General features: G+C 42.3%; 1 protein-coding gene, 1 long non-coding RNA gene and 1 pseudogene across 9 annotated transcripts in view, besides 1 other annotated feature; 2 read left to right on the top strand and 1 right to left on the bottom strand.

Annotated features, from left to right (window-relative positions):
* The window catches only part of ZNF609 (zinc finger protein 609), a 226,491-nt gene that overhangs the window by 48,222 nt on the left and 162,342 nt on the right, over positions 1-15,927 (bottom strand). For all 5 annotated transcript variants that reach the window (XM_047432263.1, XM_047432265.1, XM_017022021.2 and 2 more), the window contains exon 3: positions 14,795-15,020. In XM_047432263.1, the coding sequence (XP_047288219.1) occupies positions 14,795-15,020 (226 nt within the window). The remainder of the gene's footprint in view (positions 1-14,794; positions 15,021-15,927) is intronic.
* Positions 3,135-15,927, top strand: part of LOC101930091 (uncharacterized) — a 92,612-nt gene continuing 79,819 nt past the window's right edge. Inside the window, exons 1-4 of one of the 4 annotated variants that reach the window (XR_007064677.1) lie at positions 3,135-3,186; positions 8,177-8,237; positions 11,482-11,586; positions 14,109-14,191. This is a non-coding gene — a long non-coding RNA (uncharacterized LOC101930091). Of the gene's footprint in view, positions 3,187-7,204; positions 7,334-8,176; positions 8,238-11,481; positions 11,704-14,108; positions 14,194-15,927 lie in introns of those variants that run through there. The other 3 variants (XR_001751587.2, XR_001751585.2, XR_007064678.1) reach the window with 3 other exon arrangements.
* On the top strand, positions 6,314-6,770 carry RPL21P15 (ribosomal protein L21 pseudogene 15; annotated as a pseudogene).
* Positions 15,119-15,198: an enhancer, noted in NCBI's record as "active region_9575". NCBI's record gives its function as "activates an Ori minimal core promoter by ATAC-STARR-seq in GM12878 lymphoblastoid cells {active_cell/tissue: GM12878}" and the evidence as "EXISTENCE:reporter gene assay evidence [ECO:0000049][PMID:35858748]".

Genomic DNA, 15,927 nt, shown 5'->3' with positions numbered 1-15,927 from the left:
ACACCATTAACAGAAAAGTTAAGACACAGAAGATATTTATATTACATAAATCTCACAAAGGACTAATAACCAGAATATGCAAAGAATTCATACAAATCAATAAGAAAAAGACATACAACCCAATCCAAAAATGGGCAAAAGACTTGAACAGACACTTCGTAAAAGAGATTTCCAAATGGCCAATGAACACATGAAAAGATGCTCAATTTCATTACTCACCAGGGAAATGCAAATTAATACCACAATGAGATACCACTACACACCACCAGAATGGCTAAAATGAAAAAGACAAATAAGGTCAAGTGTTGGCTAGAACACAGAGCAATCAGGATTCTAATACATTGGAAGTAGGAATGTAAATTGGTTTACACATTTTGGGAAACTTGTGATGTCTATTCAAGTTGATCATACACATACCTTATGATTCAATAATTCCATTTCTAAGTATAGATAGATAGGAATATGTATATATAGTCCCAAATAGACATGTACAAGAATTTTCACAGCAGCACTTTTTATAACAGCCTCAAACTGCAAATAACCCAAATGCCATCAACAACTGAATAAGTAGCAGTATACTCACATAATGGAATACTATAATGAAAATAAACAAAGTTTAACAACATGTAACAATATGGATGAATCTCACTGGCACAATGTTGAACAGCTCAACATAAAAAAGCTCATACTGTAATGATTCTATTTACATGAAGTTCAAAATGGGTAACACTAATCTATGGTATTAACAATGAGATTGGTTACCTGGGGTGGGGAGAAGGGCTAGCTATTAGAAGGGAGGCATGAAAGAGATTTTGGGGTTCTGGCAATACTGTGTTTCCTCATCTAGGTGCTGGTATCACATGGTGTGTTCACTTCGAAAATGCAGACTTGCACACGTAGAATTTGCGTACATGTTTATATTATTTTCAGTAAGACTTATTAATATAAAACAAAAACAAAACCTTTGGGTTTGTGACTCCTGTAGACAAGTGGCTGGGAAGATAACAAAGGATAACAGATTAGGCTATGCCAGGATCAGCCAAGATGCAGGCCAGTTCTATACTTCAGGCAGCTTGCCCAATCTCTAGGGCAGAAGACTAGTCTAGTATCTAAGGCAACAGCACATGGCAGAAAAGGGGAGGGTTTCGCTTTCTTCATCTACTCTTTCTCCATACTTCATTCCAGGAGATTTTCTGTATAATTCTAAGGAGTAAGCTGAAAGCTAAAAAGCAAAAGGGAGCTTCATAAATGAGAATATGCACAATATTTCAAGTATATTGAATGATCTAGAAAATTTTCAAAAGGTAGGGATAATCAGAGTCAAATAAGGAGAATGCAGGTTGTTCACCAAATTAGTTCAGGGTTAAAAGTTTCATTTGATTATGAGTTCAATGGGGGTAGAAAATTATTTGACAGCAGTCTTTTGGGCTGCTTTTAGATACCCTAAGGAGAAAACAGAGTACAACTTCGGGGAGGGGTGACTGCTCAATTTCTCACCATAGCCTTTTTGTCATATAGCTTGTTGCTATGGAGAAGGCCGTGAAGGCAGCAACTAAAGGAAATAAAGGATCTGGCAGGAGTAAGCACAGGGATAGTAGATTAAACAAAAATTTCTTGAGCAATTAGTGAGTAGCAGGGCCTATAAATGACATACTTTTCTTGTTTTTCCTAACCCCTACCCCTTTGAAAGTACATGGGCTTGGTTTACCACTATAATTTAATTGAAATACAGAGAAGCCTGAATGGGCCTAACAAAGCTTAAGCCTGGCAGACAAAACACAAGGCCACTTAGCAATGCTGCCTAATGCCAGGAGGAATCAGCTACCTACCCACCCTATCCTGGTGAAATTATCTCCAGCTGCCTAAATTATAAAGTTGATGCCCTGTGATTTCTTTGTTCTGTAAAGCCTGAGGGAGATGGAATAATGAGGTATCAGAAGAGGTGGAGAACAGCCCCTTGTTTCAGAGTAGTCAGAGAGAGAGAGAGCGAGTTAAAGAGAGAAATGGAGTTAGTTCTCACCGGTATCATTAAGAGGCAGCAGCAGCCTCAGTAGCAATAGCTTGGGAGCAAAGCTCTGCTTGAACTAGTCTGAAACTACTGCTGTGGGAGAAAAGGCTAGTTGCCAACTTTGTTAATAGCTTCTGCCTATCATTGTTACAGCAGCTTTATCAAATAGGGCAGGGCCAGGACCTGTTTTTAGCAGTGTAAGCACTAAGACCAGAGGGCTCAACATCTTCCAGCAGATTTCATCACAACCAATGACTAACAAAGACAAGTCCCTCTTCTATTCCACATAAATGATTACAGAGTTGTAAATATCAGAGCTAGAAGGATCATAGAGATCATGTAGTCCAACCTCCTCATTTTACAAATAAGGAAATTAAGGCCCAGATAGTCAAACGACCTTATTAACAGAGCAAGAAAACACCAAGGCTCTCAAATAGGACTTTTTCCCCTTTGAATCACACTTCAAAGCTAAGTTAGTTAGGGCTAATGATTAATCCCAGGCAATACCAGTAAGATATTTATTGCCTAGGTATCACTCAACTAAATTCCTAAGTATCAGGATGATTTTGATAACAAAATAGGTCTGGGTTTTGTTACTGAAATATAAAAAGAATCTCATTTGCAAACAACCTTACCTATCTGGCAAGCTCACAGCCTAGTCACCTATATATACTGCCTGACTGTGCTTTGCTTGGGGGAGGGAGGAGGTGTGTGAGCATGCACAAAGGGAGACTCTCTTTCTCCCCTGGAGATTAGTCTATTTTGCCATTTGCAAAATGAAACTCAAAAAAGCCGGTGACTGAAATTTTTCCCAAGGTCTTCAGGATTTAAATGTATGACAGTGGACATATAACACAATCCACAAAGGTATATAAACACGTCACTGCCCTAAAGTATCCTCTGGGAGTAAGCTGCTAGGTGGGAATGTGTTGGCTGTTGTTTTTGGTGGGGGAGGGGTGGGAGAAAGTAGGTACTGATTTCCCTAATGTTTCCTTTGTGTGGCTGCTGTTGCCATGTGGTGGTCTGTTGCTATGAAGATTTGTGGTGTCAGACAATGGCTGCTAGGCTCTTTATGACTGTGCTATTGGTAGAGCTATTTCTTCGGGATTCAAGCTAGTATGCAACTGGCTAAACAGTGGAGAAAGCTTGGTTGTTACTGTGCCCCATCTCTCCTCTAGGTGAGTACTGCCTGGGGCAAGACTGAAGGTGAAGGGGCATTAATTATAGCATATGAGAAAGAAAAACCAATAGCTGAATGCCACCTTACTTTTCTAGTGCAAATATCTAAAATTAGATATTTCACAGTTCACACACATACTTTTCTACATCAAAATCACACAGGAAAAACCAAGAGTAACTACCAAGGTTACCATTTCCATGAAAGAAGATTAATGGAGAGCCCCTTCCCTTTAGTGAAAAGGATAAAAGCCCACAGCTGGGATCTGCAATCAGATGAGGATGAAGAATAGCTGGGGCAGGTTCTCAGCGGAGCTACCACAGGCAGACTAACTTCCTGCTAAGCAAAACCATAGCCTATTACTCTGATAATGAGAAAACTGCAGCCCACAGACCAAAGCAAAGGGCTCAACCACAGAGTTTGAAGTAGGGCCGAATGTTCTCCTGGGTAACAGGGGCCAGAGTACACAGAAGTCACCATGGGTCTGTTTAGATGTCAGCTACTTACCCACCCTCTTCATACTCCCACACAATTACTCTTCTTTCCATCTCAGAGTATATACACACAGACACACACACACACATATATATATGCATGTCTGTGTATATATATTTTAAAGATCTAGCCCCTGTGCTGTCAATACCATAAGCCACTAGTTAACATATGGCTATTTAAATTTAAATTAAATAAAATTAAACATTCAGACCCTTGGCCAGGCACGGTGGCTATACGAGGCATGAGATTGGTAAACATTTTTTTTTTTAATAATTTTTTTTTTCCTGAGATGGAGTCTCACTCTGTTGCCCAGGCTGGAGCGCAGTGGCACTATCTCGGCTCACTGCAACCTCTACCTCCCGGGTTCAAGCGATTCTCCTGCCTCAGACTCCCGAGTAGCTGGGATTACAGGCGCCCACCACCATGCCTGGCTAAACTTTTTCAACAAAAGACCAGATAACAAATATTTTGGGCCTTGCAGGCCACATGGTCTCTGTTACAGCTTCTCAACTCTGCCACTGTAGGGCAAATGTGAACAAAATACATTAAATGAGAATGACTGTCTTCCAATAAAACTTTATTTATGGGTCCAGGCCCAGTGCCTTACGCCTGTAATCCCAGCATCTTGGGAGGCCGAGGCAGGAGGATTGCTTGAGCCCAGGAGTTGAAGACAAGCCTGAGCAACACAGTGAGATCTCATTTCCGTAAGAAAATATTATAGGCCAGGTGTAGTGGTTCACGCCTATAGTCCTAGCACTTTGGCAGGCTGAAGTGGGCGGATCACTTGAGCCCAGGAGCTTGAGACCAGCCTGAGCAATATGGCAATACCTTGTCACCACAAAAAATACAAAATTAGCCAGATGGGGTGGCACATGCCTGTAGTCTCAGCTACTTGGGAGGTTGAGGTGGGAGGATTACTTGAGCCTGGGAGGTGGAGGCTGCAGGGAGCTGTGATCACGCCACTGCACTCCAGCCTGGGCAACAGAGTGAGACCCTGTGTCAAAAAACAAAACAAAACAAAACAAAACGTGTCACTTCTAATAGGTTACAGAAAAAAAAAAACAAAACAATACTTTATTTATGGACCAGGTGTGATGGCTCACACTTGTAATCGCAGAACTTTGTGAGGCTGAGGCAGGACGATTGCTAGAGCCTAGGAGTTTGAAACCAGCCTGTAAAACATAGTGAGACCCCATCTCTACAAAAAAAAAATTAAAACAAAAAAAATTAGTTGGGCATGGTGGTGTGTGCCTGTAGTCCCAGCTACTTGGGAGACTGAACTGGGAGGATCACTTGAGCCTGCAGTGAGCCATGATCACACCACTGATCACACCACTGCACTCCAGCCTGGGAAACAAACCAAGACTCTATCTGAAAAAAACAAAACAAAAACAACAACAGCCAGGCATGGTGGCTCACGTCTGTAATCCCAGCACTTTGGGAGGCCAAGGCAGGCAGACCTGAGGTCAGGAGTTCCAGACTAGCCTGGCCAACATAGCGAAACCACATCTCTACTAAAAATACAAAAAAAATCAGCCAGGCGTGTGATTCCAGCTACTTGGGAGGCTGAGGCAGGAGAATCACTTGAACCCAGGAGGTGGAGGTTGCAGTGAGCCAAGATTGCACCACGGCACCCTAGCCTGGGTGACAGAGTAAGACTCTGTCTCAAAAAAATAAAAATAAAAAATAAAATAAAAACAACAAACAAACAAAAAACCCTTTATTTATAGACACTGAAATTTGAATTCCACGTAATTTTCATGCCTCACAAATATTGTTGGATTTTGCATTTTTTCAACTATTAAAAAATAGAGGCTGGGTGTGGTTGCTCATGCCTGTAATACCAGCATTTTGGGAGGTGAGGCGGGAGGATTGCTTGAACCCAGGAATTCAAGATCAGCCTGTGCAATGTAATAAGACACTGTCTCTACCAAAAAAAAATTTTAACTACCCAGGCATGGTGACATGCTCTGGTGGTCCTACTTACTTGGGAGGCTGACGTGGGAGGATCACTTGAGCCTGGTAGGCTGAGGCTGCAGTGAGCCATGATCGTGCCACTGTATGTGAGCCAGTGATCTTGCCACTGCACTCCCGTCTTGAAAGAACAAGACCCTGTCTCAAAAAATATATATATATACACACACGCCATTCTTAGCTCATAAGCCATACAAAAGCAGGCAATGTGCTACTGTAAGACAACTACAACATAAATAATGGAGAGCCTTTCGGCCAGAACTGCCATCTTCCAGTGGACAAACACAAAGGTTAAGAAGAGAGGCACCCAATATATGTTCTCTAGGTCTCTTAGAAAATATAGAGTTGTGGCCGGGTGTGGTGGCTCATGCCTGTAATCCCAGCACTTTGGGAGGCTAAGGCAGGGGGATCACCTGAAGTCAGGAATTTGAGACTAGCCTGACCAACATGGAGAAACCCCGTCTCTACTAAAAAAAAAAAAAAAAATACAAAATTAGCTGGGCATGGTGGCGAATGCCTATAATCCCAGATACTCGGGAGGCTGAGGCAGGAGAATCGCTTGAACCCAGGAGGCGGAGATTGTGGTGAGCCGAGATTGCGCCATTGCACTCCAGCCTGGGCAACAAGAGCGAAACTCCGTCTAAAAAAAAAGAAAGAAAAGAAAATATGAAGTTGTTTCTTTGGCCATGTATATGCGAATCTATAAGAAAGGTGATATTGTAGACATCAGGGGAATGGGTACTGTTCAAAAAGGAATGCCCCACAAGTGTTACCACGGCTAAACTGGAAGAGTCTACAGTGTCCCCCAGCACGCTGTTGGCATTGTTGTAAACAAACAAGGGCAAGATTCTTGCCAAGAGAATTAATGTGTGTATTCAGCACATTAAGCACTCACTCTCTAAAAGCCAAGATAGCTTCCTGAAACATGTGAAGGAAAAATGATCAGAAAAAGAAAGAAGCCAAAGAGAAAGGCATCTGGGTTCACCTGAAGCAGCAGCCTCTACCCAGAGAAGCACACTTTGTGAGAACCAATGGGAAGGAGCCTGAACTGCTGGAACCTCTTCCCTACAAATTCACAGCATAATGGGTGTTAAAAAAATAAAAGACCTCAGGACTGTAAAAATGTTTCTCTTCATTGAGTAGAAGTGTGGTGTCCTCTCCCCTAAAAAAATATTTAAAGCAAATTTTAATTGTGTCCTAATTCATTATGTAATGTCTTTACTACTCAAATTTAATGTATTTCTTGCTGAAAGATGTGAAGTAGCTTATTGTGCAACAAGTTACTCAACTGGTTAGAAAACAGCCAAATATTATTTATGAAATATTTGTATTGGTTTGAAGACAGTGCCTCTAAATCATCATGGAAGAAATAAAATAATTTACAAAACAAACAAACAAAAAAGAAAACAAAAGAATGGAGAGTAAGGCCTGGTGCAGTGGCTCATGCCTGTAATCCTAGCACTTTGGGAGGCTGAGGCAGGCAGATCATTTGAGGCCAGGAGTCTGAGATAAGCCTGGCTAACACGGTGAAACTCCATTTCTTCTCGGAGGTTGCAGTGAGCCAAGATCACACCACTACGCTCCAGCTGGGGGAGACAGTGAAACTCCATCTCAAAAAGAAAAAAGAATGGAGAGTCAAGGGACTTATATGGTAGTAAGATTTCTACATTCCACTTGAGGTACTAATTTTAAGTAAACTGTGAAAAGTTAAATATATATACTGTAATTCCTAGAGAAACCACTAAAAAATTATACAGAGATGAAGAGTGAAGAGTCAAGAGATGACTAGGGAGGTTTGAGCCTAGAAAATTAGGAGGATGGTACTGGGCATGGTGGCTCATGCCTGTAGTCCCAGCATTTTGGGAGGCCGAGGCGGGTGGATCACCTGAGGTCAGGAGTTCGAGACCAGCCTGGCCAACATGGTGAAAACCCATCTCTACTAAAAATACAAAAATTAGCTGGGTGTGGTGGTGGGCGCCTGTAATCCCAGCTACTTGGGAGGCTGAGGCAGAAGAATCGCTTGAACCCCGTAGGTGGAGGCCATTGTACCCCGGGCAACAGAGCGAGACTTTGTCTCAAAAAAAAAAAAAAAAAGAAAAAAGAAAATTAGGAGGATGGTAATGTAGGTGTAATGAAGAGAAACAGAGAAGGAAAGAGAAGGAAATTTTTGGTAAAAAATGATGAATACTCCTTTTTAGACATTCGAATTTAATAAATCAGTTTCTGTTGATGTTCATCAGTGAAACTGTATTAGGCAAAAGGTCAAGTGTGGAGATAAAGTTCTCGGTATTGTTCACACAAGGTAGACAGCTAAAGATATGAATATATAGGAGAGTACTTACAATAGAAAGCTGCTAAAGTAATAGCTTTTGGAAGTTATGATGTAGGAAGGCTATGCAAAGCAGAAGAGTGGCAGATTCTACTAATTTCTTCCCTTTTCCCTTAGTAAGAGCCCCTATTTTGTGCGGGGAAGTAATGTATCCAGCTAAAAGGCTAAATTTCTTTGCCTTCCTTGCACACAGGGTAGCCAACAAGATGTAAGCAGAAGTCTTATGGTGTGGCTTCTGGGAAACCTCTCCAAAGGTAACAGACTAAGATGGGAGGCAGGTGCTTTTTCTCTTCTACCTTCCTTTTCTTTCAAGACTGGAAAGTAAACATGATGGCTGGAGCTACAGAAGCAATTTTACAATAAAGAAGTAACTTTAAGGAGCCTGAAACAGTGATTCCATTGCGATGTCATCATACCAGCCCTAGACTACTTACCTACCTACCTCCAAATTCTCTTATATTAAATCATTATTATAGTTTCATTTCTTCTCCAAGCAGCTAAATGCCATTCCTAACTCAATGTTTCCTCAACTTTCCCCACTATGACACACACAGTAAATGAAAAAATATATTGTGGATAAGGCTGTTTGCCTGTGGGAAAGGGAGCAGGGCACCAGCTGCTACAGACCCTATCTAGTGGCTGATAGGACTGAATTGACCGATATTTCAGCATCCTGAATCTCAACAGGAATTTCTGATTAAATGAATACAAGAAGGAAGAGAGACTGGCACAAAATAGAGAGAATAACCAGTTATAAAGAGAAATGAGATTTATGACCAAGGCAAGAGAGGAGAGTTTCAAGAATAAAGAAATAAGAGAGCTAATAGAAGTCTAGGAAGGACTGAGAGAAGACCTCTGGAAAACTGGTATGAGAAATATTTCAGTCAAATGGTGGTAGAAGAAATCTGATGACAGGATGTTATTACAATAGTGAGCAGGGGCCAGGCATGGTGGCTCACGCCTGTAATCCCAGCACTTTGGAAGGCCGAGGCAGGGGGATCACCTGAGGTCAGGAGTTCGAGACCAGCCTGACCGAAATGGAAAAACCCCATCTCTACTGAAAATACAAAATTAGCCAGGTGTGGTGGCACACGCCTGTAATCCCAGCTACTTGGGAGGCTGAGGCAGGAGAATCGCTTGAACCCGGGAGGTGGAGGTTGCAGTGAGCCGAGATCACGCCATTGCACTCCAGCCTGGGCAAGAAGAGAGAAACTCTGTCTCAAAAAAGTCTCTGCTCCTCCTGTTCTACAGACAGCCGCATATTCTCTCACATCCTGGCTCATTGCAACCTCTGCCTCCTGGGTTCATGGGATTCTCCTGCCTCAGATGGGATTACAGGCATGTATCACCACACCTGGCTAATTTTTGTAGTAGAGACGGGGTTTCACCATATTGGCCAGGCTGGTCTCAAACTCCTGGCCTCAAGTGATCCACCTGCTTCAGCTTCCCAAAGTGTTGGGATTACAGGTGTGAGCCACCGTGCCCGTCCACTTGTTCGTTTTTAAGTTGCCATAGTCAACCAGTGTTGGATCCATGCTGATTACATGTTTCTTTTCTTTTTTTGAGATGGGGTCTCACTCCGTCACCCAGCCTGGAATGCAGTGGCACAATCATAGCTCACTGTTGCCTCGAACTCCTGGGTTCAAGTGATCCTCCTGCCTTAGCCTCCTGAGTAGCTGGGACTACAGGCACAAGCCACTGTGCCTGGCCCTGATTCCATGGTTTAAGGCATAGATTTAAAAAAAATTTTTTTTGTAGAGATAGGGTCTTGCTATGTTGCCCAGGCTAGTCTCAAACTCCTGGGCTCAAGTGATCCATCTGCATCAGCCTCCCAAAGTGCTGGGATTACAGGCATGAGCCACCACACCTGGCCTGCATAGATTTTTATAACTTAAGAGCTGATAGGCTGGGCATGGTGGTTCATGCCTGTAATCCCAGCACTTTGGGAGGCTGAGGTGGGATGGTCACTTGAGGCCTGGAGTTTGAGACCAGTCTGCACAACATAGCAAGACTCTGTCTCTATAAAAAATTAGCTGAGTACGGCGGCACATGCCTGTAGTCTCAGCTACTCAGGAGGCCAAGGCAGGAGGATCACTTTAGCTCAAGAGTTTGAGGCTGCAGTGAGAGATGATGTTGTTGCTATACTCCAGGCTGGGTGACACAGCTTGACCCTGTCTCAAAAAAAAAAAAAAAAAAAAAAGAAAGAAAAAAAGAACTAAAAAGAACTGTCAGGTCCTAATTGGTCACCTAGTTCAACTTAAGAGATGAGGTAACTAAGGCCCAGAAAATTAAGGGATTTTTCCAAGGTCATAATGATAGTGGCAGAGATATAGAAGTCTCCAGAGTTTTACTCCAGTGCTCCTTCCACTATACCATAAATTCTTCCATAAAGCACATTTGCCAAAGTAAACTACATCACTGGTATTGGCCTTTGGGTTAGTGCTACTGTCCAAAAAGGAGAACCTATAGCATCTCCTAGAACTCTTACCTAAAGTCAGCCTTGCCTTTCTTTAAAATACCACACAAGCCAGTATGCAATTTTGTGTCCCTAAAAGTACATAGTCTGCTTTAAGGCTTCTTATACATTTTTTCAGGATCCTAGATTAGAGTTAAGCCTTGTGAACCCAGAATAGACTTGGTAGTTTTGTTTTGTTTTTTTTTGTTTTTTTTTTGAGACGGAGTCTCACTCTCTGTCGCCCAGGCTGGAGTGTAGTGGCACACTCTCGGCTCACTGCAACCTCCACTTCCTGGGTTCAAGTGATTCCCCTGCCTCAGCCTCCCAAGTAGCTGGGATTACAGGCTAATTTTTGCATTTTTAGTAGAGACGGGGTTTTGCCATGTTGGCCAGGCTGGTCTCAAACTCCTGACCTCAAGTGTACCTCCCGCCTCGGACATACTCAGTATTTTGATTTGAAGTGAGGTGAGATAAAGCAAAATCCAGTGGAACTAGCCCTTACATAGTGCTGAGAATGTCTCAAAAACAAACAGACAAAAAAATTCTAGGTTACACTTGGGTCTTCTTAACAGTCCCACGGTTGAATCTAGTCAAGTAGGATCTTTGCAGTGCTTACTGAATTATCAACAGCCTAAAAAGAAATGGAATCTGCAGGAATTTAAAAATGCATCCAAGGTTTAAAGGGAGTGATAGGGAGAGAAGAGGAAAGAAAGAAGTAACACTGTAGGACAAGTAGGCAAAGAAACTAGGAATAATTGAGGCCATGACTCCTATACCTGTTCTCAGCAAGGTGGCTCAGTTCTACAGGGACCTCAGTGTCCTCCATTCCCCTCAGAGGCCAAGCATTCACAGCTTCTCTCTGAGCTGTAAGGACTTTTCTGTTTGAAGACAGTGTAGTTTGCTGGACAAAGAGACAGACAGAAGTACAAAATGTCGAGAGGCAGAAAAAAAAACCTAGAAGTCTGGAAGAATTTTTTAAAAAGTATCTGTATGTAGTTCTTATGATTAACTTGAGGACTGACTCGGTATCCTGGATCTTACAGATCTTCAGAGAATGATCTTTGCAGGAAATCTCTGTTACCTGAAGATGAAAAGGAATGTGAACCAACTCTGATCCCAATTCAGACCTTCGCCAACTGACAGTTCAGGTGAAGGCCCTCTGGGGTGACCAGAAAGCAAAGAAAAGATGAGTATATTATTGCTGAACAGTTCTCTTTCAGAAAAAGAGAATAAAATAAAGAAAGAGACCTAAGCCTTGAAATACAGTAAGTGGGAGAAAACCTGGTATTAAAAGTAGGATTAAAAATCTTACAGATTTAGACAACGAGACTGATCTCAAACCTGGTGAAAGCAGTATTTATTCTGAGTTGCAGAGAAGATTTAGAATTTTGGAAAGTACTTCGACACCATTCCTAAGTTCAAGCAATATTTTAATATCCTCTCTCTCTCTCTCTCTCTCTCTCTCTCTCTCTATATATATATATATATATATATTTTTTTTTTTTTTTTTTTTTTTTTTTGAGATGGAGTCTGGCTCTGTCACCCAGGCTGGAGTGCAGTGGTGCAATCTTGGCTCACTTCAAGGCCCGCCTCCTGGGTTCACGCCATTCTCCTGCCTCAGCCTCCCGAGTAGCTGGGACTACAGGCGCCCACCACTACACCCGGCTAATTTTTGTATTTTTAGTAGAGACAGGGTTTCACCATGTTAGCCAGGATGGTCTCCATCTCCTGACCTCGTGATCCGCCCGCCTCGGCCTCCTAAAGTGCTGGGATTACAGGCTTGAGCCACCGCACCCGGCTCCTCTAGATATATATTAAGATAGATCCAGAAATGACAATGACATAGATGCAAGCATTCCTTCATTCAAACAAATATATTTTTCTTTTTTTTGAGACAGCCTTGCTCTGTTGCCTGGGCCAGAGTGCAATGGTGCGATCTCGGCTCACTGCAACCTCCACCTCCGGGGTTCAAGTGATTATCCTGCCTCAGCCTCCCAAGTAGCTGGGATTACAGGTACACGCCACCATACCCAGCTTTTTTTTTGTATTTTTAGTAGAGATAGGGTTTCACTATGTGGGCCAGGCTGGTCTTGAACTCCTGACCTCAGGTGATAAACCACGCCTGGCCTCAAACAAGTATTTTTGACAGTCTACTACTATAGGTGTCAGATGCCACCTATGTTAAGTACCTTGGATACAATGATGAGCAAAACAGACTGCCTGATCTCAGAACTTCTAACACAGTAGAAAAGATACACATTAATAGAAAAATCATAAAAATGATAAACAAAGTTGCAAACTGTGATGTGTGCTATGAAATAAAGTATAGAGTACCTTAAGAGTACAAACTGGGCTGGGTGTGGTAGCTCACACCTGTAATCCCAGCACTTTGGGAGGTTGAGGCAGGTGGATCACAAGGTCAGGAGTTCAAGACCAGCGTGGCCAGCACGGTGAAACCCCATCTCTACTAAAAATACAAAAATGGACCAGGCGTGGTGGTATGTGCCTGTAGTCCCCACTACTCAGGAGGCTGAGAGAGAAGAATCGCTTGAACCTGGGAGGCAGAGGTTGCAGTGAGCCAAGATCGCACCACTGTACTCCAGCCTGGGTGACAGGGTGAGACTCCATCTCAAAAAAAAAAAAAAAAGTGTACGTAACAGGGGAACTTGGTAATAATAGGCTGCCTGTGACAACCTGACAGAGAGTCTTCCAGTGCAAACGATTTACAAAAAATAAAAAAAAATTATGTGTTAATTTTGCCCTGGCAGGAAGGGATCCTCAGATAAAAAGGTATTCATTGTCCTCAGGAGAGTGAAAGCATTAGCCTCACTCTCTCAAAGTTTTTGTTAGGTTCACATAAAAAAAGCATCTTGTTCTTGGAAAAGAGTCACCATCATAAAGGCAAGCAGAACAAACAGGCAGGAAATCGATTTATTCTATCTTCAATATACTGAGGTAAGAGGCCTTGAAGGTTGCTTGGTGGCACAGAGATATGGTCCGGATATGTCTGTCATTCCAACAGACTCTGTGACTGTTCAGACATTTGTCCATAAGCAGATGACATTTTAAAAATCAGATAGCCACTTTGTGATTTTCAGATTGTATATTGTATACACATATCCAGAGTCAACCTCTAGAGTTAAACTCTCTCTCTACCTTCTCTGCATCAGCTTCTACCACTCAGGCACACAATAAAACCTCATTAGCGACGTTATTCTGAAAGCTGAAGATGTATTACATTCCTAATGATGACACAGACAAGAATACAGAGTTCTTAACCTGTAACACATCAGCACCTATTGCACGGTAAACTTTAAATAAATACTGAATGACAACAAAATATTCAGGGGAACAGATTTTATTAGAATGACCAGAATGAAATGCCTGAATTTCTAGGGGCAGACTGACAAAATAGCTCTGTGATAATCAGAGATGATTAGCTGTGCTCCTCTGGGCCTCTAAACTCCTCAGAGTGAGGACAGTTTGAAAGTCTGTTTACTGATGCAGAGACATGATGGGACTGAGGCCCAGACTCTCTAACCACATATACTCTGACAAGGATTTGGATTCTTCAGAAAAAGAATATGCAAAAATCAAATTGCCACCAGATGTTACCAAAAGATCTGAAATACCCCATTAAGTCTCTTTACACTTCCTTCCATTTTTTCAGGTTCATAAATTTTCAAAACAGAATAGATTCCGTTCTCAGGGGCAAGTGGAACATGCAAGAAGTCTGGATGCCTTGGGCAACAGCAACCTACAGTGAGCCAACTGCTTAGTGGATGCCTGAAAACAAGACCATCTAAACATTTCCTATAAAATCTGTACCAAGTGACAGATACATGAAGCGGTGTGGGTGGCTGGGCAATGAGGCAATCAGTGGGAAGAGTGAACTGGCTGTACCTATAGGTGTTAAAAAAGGCAAGAGCTGCATATGCAATGAGCCAACATTAAGTGAATTTAAGAGTGACTATTCTCCATCCTCTTGACTCCCTCAGCTGCCCTTTTATTAATTTTTCTCTTCAGGCCTGACCTCAAATTTAATTTATAATCTAACTCTCCCATATAAAATATGGAGAGTACAGATACAGTTTGAATTACCTGGCCAATACCTATCACATGACTGCATATCATAAGTACCAGGATCAACACTGTTGAATACTATGAAGGGAAGAATCTCTAGAAGCTGGGAAATTTTGCTAAGTCTGCTAAAATCCTCTGTGTGGGTATCTCCCGCAGACTGTGGACACTTGAGACTCTAATAACCACTTGGTAATATTTACAACAATAAGTCCCTGGTGGCTCCCCTGCAGAAGCAGGTTGAGAAGGGAGGGGAAAGCCACATATCACACTTACCATCTTCTGTTTCCTGCCACACGATGCCTTCAAGGTTGACGCTAGTTCCAGGTTCACAGGGGCCCAAGCACTCAGGCTCTGTGGCCAGAGCCACATCACATGTGTTGACCCCAACTGATCGGGTACGAACCATGATCTGCTCACAGGGAGATGAGATGTCATTGTTGACCACTGGCACCAAAAGGTGTATTGGCAGCACTGCTGGTGTGGAAACAGGGGACTCCATCTGTGGAGGGAAGAAAAAGTAGTAGCTGAGTTGCAGGGAGAACATTTAGAGGAAATACCTTTTCTGTATTTAATCTAGTCCTATATCTATTCCTGCCAGAGTGCAGACGGCTATAAATAAGACTTTGGTTCTTCCTTTCAAGTTCTGGCTTATGATACCACTACAAATCTAGTGGTTTAGATGAGAACATCCTGTGCTAAGAGAAACTCTTATTAATGAGCGTATAATGATCTTCTTAATGATCTTCCTCATAAACTGCACTTGGCTAAAATGTTTTTTAAAAAGTTCTATTTTTTCCTCATCTCATTAAAAAGTCTCTAATGAAAGAGAATCAGGGCCAGATTTCAATAGTAACAGAGCACACAGACTGATGAGAAAGACAAGGCCCAGCATCTGAGGTATGTTTTGCTACCACCACTATGCTTCCTACCAATCTATCATTCAGCAAACAGTACATTAGTCTGGCATAAAATCCATGAATTTGGGTGGGGATAAAGAGAGGAAGAAATAGCCAAATCCTAGGAATGCCATGATTCCTAATGATCCTAGGTGCTTTAATACATCTTTGGCTAGAAGGAATAAAGTTATAGCAGGGCTGGGATTAACCTGGTGGGAATTTCTAACCCTTAGAAACTGTAACATGTAACAGTGGTTGTTTAATGAGAATGGCATCTTGGAATATAATTCTAACATCAAATTTATCTATAAGAAACAGGAGGTGCTGTTGCCACCCAGAAGCCAATCAACAGCAGTCTGAAGATGTTGTTGATTATGTACACATAGATAGAAATAGTCAAACATGGCTAGGCACGGTGGCTCACACTTGTAATCCCAGCACTTTGGGAGGCCGAGGTGGGCAGATCACCTGAGGTCAGGAGTTCGAGACCAGCCTGACTAACATGGTGAA

This window comes from Homo sapiens, chromosome 15 (assembly GCF_000001405.40).
Source record: "Homo sapiens chromosome 15, GRCh38.p14 Primary Assembly".
Taxonomy (NCBI): domain Eukaryota; kingdom Metazoa; phylum Chordata; class Mammalia; order Primates; family Hominidae; genus Homo; species Homo sapiens.
This window is presented reverse-complemented; position numbering and strand designations above follow the sequence as displayed.